Raw genomic sequence first — 6,003 nt, forward strand, 5'->3', positions numbered from 1 at the left:
CCTTTTTTTGCTTTTTCAACTGACATTCTGTTACCTGTTTTACCCACAGGTATCTTATCTACAGGTATCCACTCTATCGTGCTCTTAAAGCATGATTGGCCAGGCATGGTGGCTCATGCCTGTAATCCCCATATTTTGGGAAGCCAAGGCAGGCGGAATGCTTGAACCCAGGAGATTGAGACCACCCTGGGCAACATAGTGAGACCCCGTTTCTACAGAAAAAAAAATTGTTTTAATGATGAACCACCAGAATAAGGCATAAAGATACAAAACTAGTGTTAATTATAATTTTAAAGTTAACACCCAGTAATAGCAATTAGTTATAATTATGGTAATTTATTTTACATACCACGTTCAAAATAAAGTGGTTTTGGATGGGCGCAGTGGCTCACGCCTATAATCCCAGCACTTTGGCTAGCAGATCACCTGAGGTCAGGAGTTCGAGACCAGACTGACCAACATGGTGAAACCCCATCTCTACTTAAAATACAAAAAAAAAATAGCCAGCCGTGGTGGTAGGTGCCTGTAATCCCAGCTACTTGGGAGGCTGAGGCAGGAGAATTGCTTGAACCCAAGAGGCGGAGGTTGCAGTGAGCCAAGAACGCGCCATTGCACTCCAGCCTGGGCGACAAGTGTAAAACTCCGTCTCAAAAAATAATAATAATAATAAAAAAATAAAGTGGTTTCTATACTAACAGATTTTTAAACATAAAACAATGAAAAGAACCAAGTATTTAATCATATCCACAACATGTATTTAAATATTTAAAACATTTTTATTTACTATTTATTAACTGCAGTTACTAATCAAGTTCACCCAAAGCAATAAAAATATCAAGAATTTATTTTAACAAGCTGGCTAATACATAATATATTTAAAGTTATAAAACCTGAATATTCCAGAGCAGGGGTACTAAACATGTAATAACAGTACAGATACACACACTGGAAGAGTGTAAATTTTTTCAAGTTCTTTAAGTGATTATAATAGGCATTAAAAATAGAAAAAAATCAACACATAAACTGTAAATACAATTTTTTATATTGCAAAAGGAAACCAAGTTCTCTTATTTATTTATTTATTTATTGAGCCAGAATCTTGCTCTGTCGCCCAGGCTGGAGTGCAGTGGCACGATCTCAGCTCACTGCAAGCTCTGCCTCCCAGGTTCACGCCATTCTCCTGCCTCAGCCTCCCCGGAGTAGCTGGGACTACAGGCGCCTGCCACCACACTCGGCTAATTTTTTGTATGTTTGTTTTTTTAGTAGAAACGGGGTTTCACCATGTTAGCCAGGATGGTCTCGATCTCCTGACCTCGTGATCTGCCGGCCTCAGCCTCCCAAAGTGCTGGGATTACAAGCGTGAGCCACCGCGCCCGGCCCCAAGTTCTCTTAATTAAAAAAAAAAAAAAAACATGAAAATTATTTTAGTGAACATCTGTTGTTTTTGCCTGTCCAGCAACCAATTGCTCTTCTCCAGAAAGCATCACCTCAATTTTTCTTTAGGAACTGTCACCCACCCTTAACTCAAATGGTTTCAAACTATATTCCTCTCCTTCCCACTCCAGGATAGGGACAAATTCCAAGCCTAGCCACACAAAGCATTCCATCACTCTGGCCACAGGGACTGCCTCTAGGATGGGCAAAGACCCAAGTCAGGTCAATGAAACTACCATACAGTGGTGCGCTGGAACTGTAGAGAAAGGGAAATTCTCTTTCTTCTTGGGTTTCTGAGGTTGAAGGAAGTAAGCCTAGTGCTGGTATTACAATCTTTCCCAGGGAATCTGACTCCAAAGCCTTACTTTTCCACACTGAATCCCAAATATGCAAAGGGAACTAGTGGTTACCTGGTAGTAAGAGAAAAGATAAATTAGGACTTTGACTTTCAATATTGTATTTTCGATAATGTTTCCATTTTCCAAAAATAAGCATATTACTTCAATAATAGGAAATTTAAAATGTTTAAAAATATTGCCCGTGTTTTCTTCTCAAACATGCTTATTCATATTTCAATATCTTAAAAGTATTAACAATTTTCTCATAATTTACCAAAGCACATAGAATATCCATCTAAAAACAATCACCTTCTTCTCCTGGCACAAAATAAAGCTATTACAATATTTTCATTTTTAAATTATGAGTGGGAGGCCAGGTACAGTGGCTCACACCTCTAATCCCAGCAATTTGGGAGGCTGAGGCGGGCGGATCACTTGAGGTCAGGGGTTCGAGACCAGCCTGGCCAACATAGTAAAACCCCATCTTTACTAACAATACAAAAATTAGCCGGGCGTGGTGGCGCACGCTCCTGTAATCCCAGCTACTTACGAGGATGAGGCAGAAGAATCACTTGAACCCCGGAGGCAGAGGTTGCAGTGAGCCAAAATCGCGCCATTGCACTGTAGCCTTGGCAACGAGAGTGAAACTCTGTCAAAAAGACAAGACAGAGCGAGACTCCGTCTCAAAAAAAAAAAAAAAAAAAAAGACAAGAAAAGAAAAGGGAAGGGGAGGGGAGGGAGAAAGAAAGGGAGAAGAAAGAAAAAAAGAAAAGAAAAGAAAGAAAAAGAAAATATGTGTGGAAAAAACAGTTGAGTAAACCTTTTTAAAAAAACTGGTTCTAGTGGCTAGGCATGGTGGCTTGTACCTGCAATCCCAGAACTTTGGGAGGCCAAGGCGGGAGGATCGCTTGAGTCTGGGAGTTCCAAGACTAGCCTGGGTAGGCCAGGTGTGGTGGCTCAGGCCTGTAATCCCAGCATTTTGGGAGGCCGAGGCAGGTGGATCACCTGAGGTCGTCAGGAGTTCGAGACTAGCCTGGCCAACATGTAAAACCCCATCTCTACTAAAAATACAAAAATTAGCCAGATGTGGTGCCGCGCCTGTAGTTCCAGCTACTTCGGAGGCTGAAGCAGGAGAATTGCTTGAACCCAGGAGGCAGAGGTTGCAGTGAGCCGAGATCACACCACTGCACTCCAGCCTGGGCAACAGAATGAGACTCCGTCCCCACCCCTCAACAAAAGGACCAGCCTCGGCAAAATGGCTGAACCCCATCTCCATTTAATTAATTAATTAATTAATTAAAAACTGGTTCTTATTTTAAAAGGGATACACTAAACAACTGCATATGGAAAAAATGGTTAATGTTCAGCAAGTGCTGCAGCCATTGTAAAAATGGCTCAAGAGATAAAGCTAACTTTAAAGACTGAAGGTGGCAAAATTGGGTTTAAAAAAGCTTTATCAATTATATTAGTCCTATAACTCTGAATAGCATAAGATCTGAAGGAGTTGGTCAGTTAAATATTTCAATTATAATTATTTTGCATAATATTGCATTATGGAGAAATTTCATATCGTTTTATTCTTTTGTTGTTGTTTTAAGAGACAGGGTATCGCTCTGTCGCCCAAGCTGGAGTGCAATGGTACGATCACAGCTCACTGCAGCCTCAACCTCGAGGGCTCAAGCCATCCTCCTGTCTCAGCCTCCCAAGTAGCCAGGACTACAGGCATGCGCCCAGCTAATTTTTGTGTTTTGTAGAGATGGTCTTGCCATATTGCCCAGGCTGGTCTCAAACTCCTAGATTCAAGGGATCCACCCGGCCTCCCAAATTGCTGGGATTATGGGCCTGAGACACCACACCCAGCCTGTTTTATTCTTAAACACAGGAAAGTTAGTCTCAAGATGCACTTCTTAGGAATGTAAACAATCTACTGAATATAGTAAATATAAAGGAAGACAGCAATAAACACTTTTGTTCTCTTGCATTTATTAGCTTCTATTAGTTTCTATCATTCTTTCCCTTTCTCCTCAGGCACACAAGCCACTCCAGAATATTCACTTTTTGTTAATATTATGTTTTATGGCTCTCAGTAAGGACACTCAGAAGATGTCAGAGACACTTGCTTGATATATTAGGTAGCCAGAGTGATGTTCTTAAGTGGAAGAGACAATCAGGGACAAACCAAGGATTGGGACAAAGAGTAGCTGGAGGCAAAAGCCACCTTCCTACAGACAAGTGGCAATGGGTTCTAAAGTTTTTAGGATAAGGCAATATTCAAAAAGCTCATTACCTGGTCCACACCAGAAACACAGTAGGTGGGTCATTCTGGCCAACACCTTTGTCTCAAGATACTGACGTTTATTATTTGTCATATGGTCCAATGAAACCTAAACTCTCCTACAGCTATCCACACCGAACTTGTTTCACCTCATGAAATGCAAACTCCTTTCTTATACTGCTCGATCACTTCCCTACGTGCCCCAAAGGGATGTTCTAATATAAACAAAGGCATATCAAAGAAGCCACCCAAACAAGTGAGATAGAAACATTTATTGATAAATAGGAAGAAAATGGGCGTTTCTAAGGTACCACAGGAAAAATAAAATATTTTACTCTAGTCCCTTAGCTATAAGATATTTATTCTACTTATATTTACTAATGGCCACCGTATTTTTTAAGACATGGAAAATTGGAAGGTAAAGAAACCATCAACCATAAGATTACAGAGAAGGCAACTTGAAGAACAGTTTGTTTTAAACTGTTCTCCCAACATTCACATAGAGTCAATAACATCTAGCTCTTTCTCAAAACAGCCTATGGCCGGCCAGAATGCGACGGTGAAAACAAAACAGGGAGAACGTAATGAAAACGGGAAGGCGCTGGAAAAGATAAAAACTGAACAGTCCGAGTAGCCTGCACTTTGTATTTCTCCTTTGAGTCCTCACTGATTTTCCACTTATTTCGATTCAGTGGTTAATATTTCTCCGTATTAGAAATCCATCTGTGAACTCCCGCACCCACTTCTAACCACATCCACAAATTCCAGGAGAGCCAGTCAAGGCTACCAGAGTGTCCCAGTCGCCTGTGAGGAGGGGGGCGTCGGCGCCAAGTTGCGAACCCGGCACTGGGAGAAGTTCTCCCGGGACGGGAGAAGGGACGGGTTGGGGTGAAGGAAAGTGGAGGACGGGAGGCAAGCAAGACTACGGACTCCTCTCCAAAAGCTGAGCGCATCAGGGAGAGACAGGTATCCCGCCAGACCCGAGAAGTAGCCGGATGCCCGGGGCGGACAAACGGCCAGCCACGAAGCCCAGTTCCCTAAGGCTGTCTCGCCAACCCCCTTCCCCTTCGCCTTCCCTAAATTGCTGTCTCCTTATACCCTCCAGAGTCCAAGACTCACGCGTCCAAACACGAGCTCCAGCAGCCTCTCGGTCAAAGCCGCCCACCTCTGACAGCCATAGAGATGAAACAGCGGAGACAAACCTCCACCCCCTCCGCCCACTCTCACGTGACTCTCCTAGCCGCTGGGCCTGTCGGGATCGTGGAGACAGGCGTGTGGGAGGGGCACAGAGGAAAAGGAACGGGGAGGGGCGGGGAAATCAACGCGCCACGCCCCAGCCTCGGGCCCCGCCCTAGCCCCGTCACTCCCCCTTACTCCCCTCAGCGTTTAGGCGGGAAAGCTGGAGAGCTCCCAGAAGCTCTCGGGCATTTCTTCTGGTTTTTTTCCCCTCCACAAGGGTCATAGGAATCTGTTGAGAAATTTACTGTGGCTTGTAACACCTCCTCGGTACCCGTTTTCGTGTTGGCTATGTTGGCTAAGCAAAAAGGAGTTCGTGAAAAGAAAACTGGACCACAGTGAGTTGGAAATTGTTTCTTTCCAACTCCGTTTAGGTTTTCTCAGAGATTAAATGTTCCTGTTTCATAACCTTGAGACTTTTTTGGATTTAGAAACCCTCACCACTTCCTCTGGTGGATGATTTTGTCAGGTGTTTTATTTGCAGACTAATATTATTGCAGAGTTTATAATCTCTAGAAGCCACTTAAAAACATGTTTTCCCTTGAAGAATGTGTTTTTTGTTTGTTTGTTTGTTTGTTTGTTTTGAGATAGAGTTTCACTCTTGATGCCCAGGCTGGAGTGCAGTGGAGCGATCTCGGCTCTCTGCAATCTCTGCCTCCTGGGTTCAAGCGATTCTCCTGCCTCAGCCTCCCAAGTAGCTGGGATTACAGGCATGCGCCA

At 43.4% G+C, this 6,003-nt stretch overlaps 1 protein-coding gene across 22 annotated transcripts in view, besides 2 other annotated features; it reads right to left on the reverse strand.

The window, feature by feature from the left end:
* The window catches only part of MICU1 (mitochondrial calcium uptake 1), a 258,740-nt gene extending 253,504 nt beyond the window's left edge, over positions 1-5,236 (reverse strand). For all 22 annotated transcript variants that reach the window (NR_199811.1, NR_199809.1, NR_199810.1 and 19 more), the window contains exon 1: positions 5,167-5,236. The gene's annotated coding sequence lies outside the window, so the exon portion shown is untranslated. The remainder of the gene's footprint in view (positions 1-5,166) is intronic.
* Positions 5,003-5,540: an enhancer, noted in NCBI's record as "H3K27ac hESC enhancer chr10:74385604-74386141 (GRCh37/hg19 assembly coordinates)". NCBI's record gives its function as "activates a minimal SCP1, AML or CMV promoter by ChIP-STARR-seq in primed H9 embryonic stem cells {active_cell/tissue: H9 hESC(primed)}" and the evidence as "EXISTENCE:reporter gene assay evidence [ECO:0000049][PMID:30033119]".
* Positions 5,091-5,240: an enhancer, noted in NCBI's record as "active region_3550". NCBI's record gives its function as "activates an Ori minimal core promoter by ATAC-STARR-seq in GM12878 lymphoblastoid cells {active_cell/tissue: GM12878}" and the evidence as "EXISTENCE:reporter gene assay evidence [ECO:0000049][PMID:35858748]".

The sequence above is a fragment of the Homo sapiens genome, chromosome 10 (genome assembly GCF_000001405.40).
Source record: "Homo sapiens chromosome 10, GRCh38.p14 Primary Assembly".
In the NCBI taxonomy this organism is placed as follows: domain Eukaryota; kingdom Metazoa; phylum Chordata; class Mammalia; order Primates; family Hominidae; genus Homo; species Homo sapiens.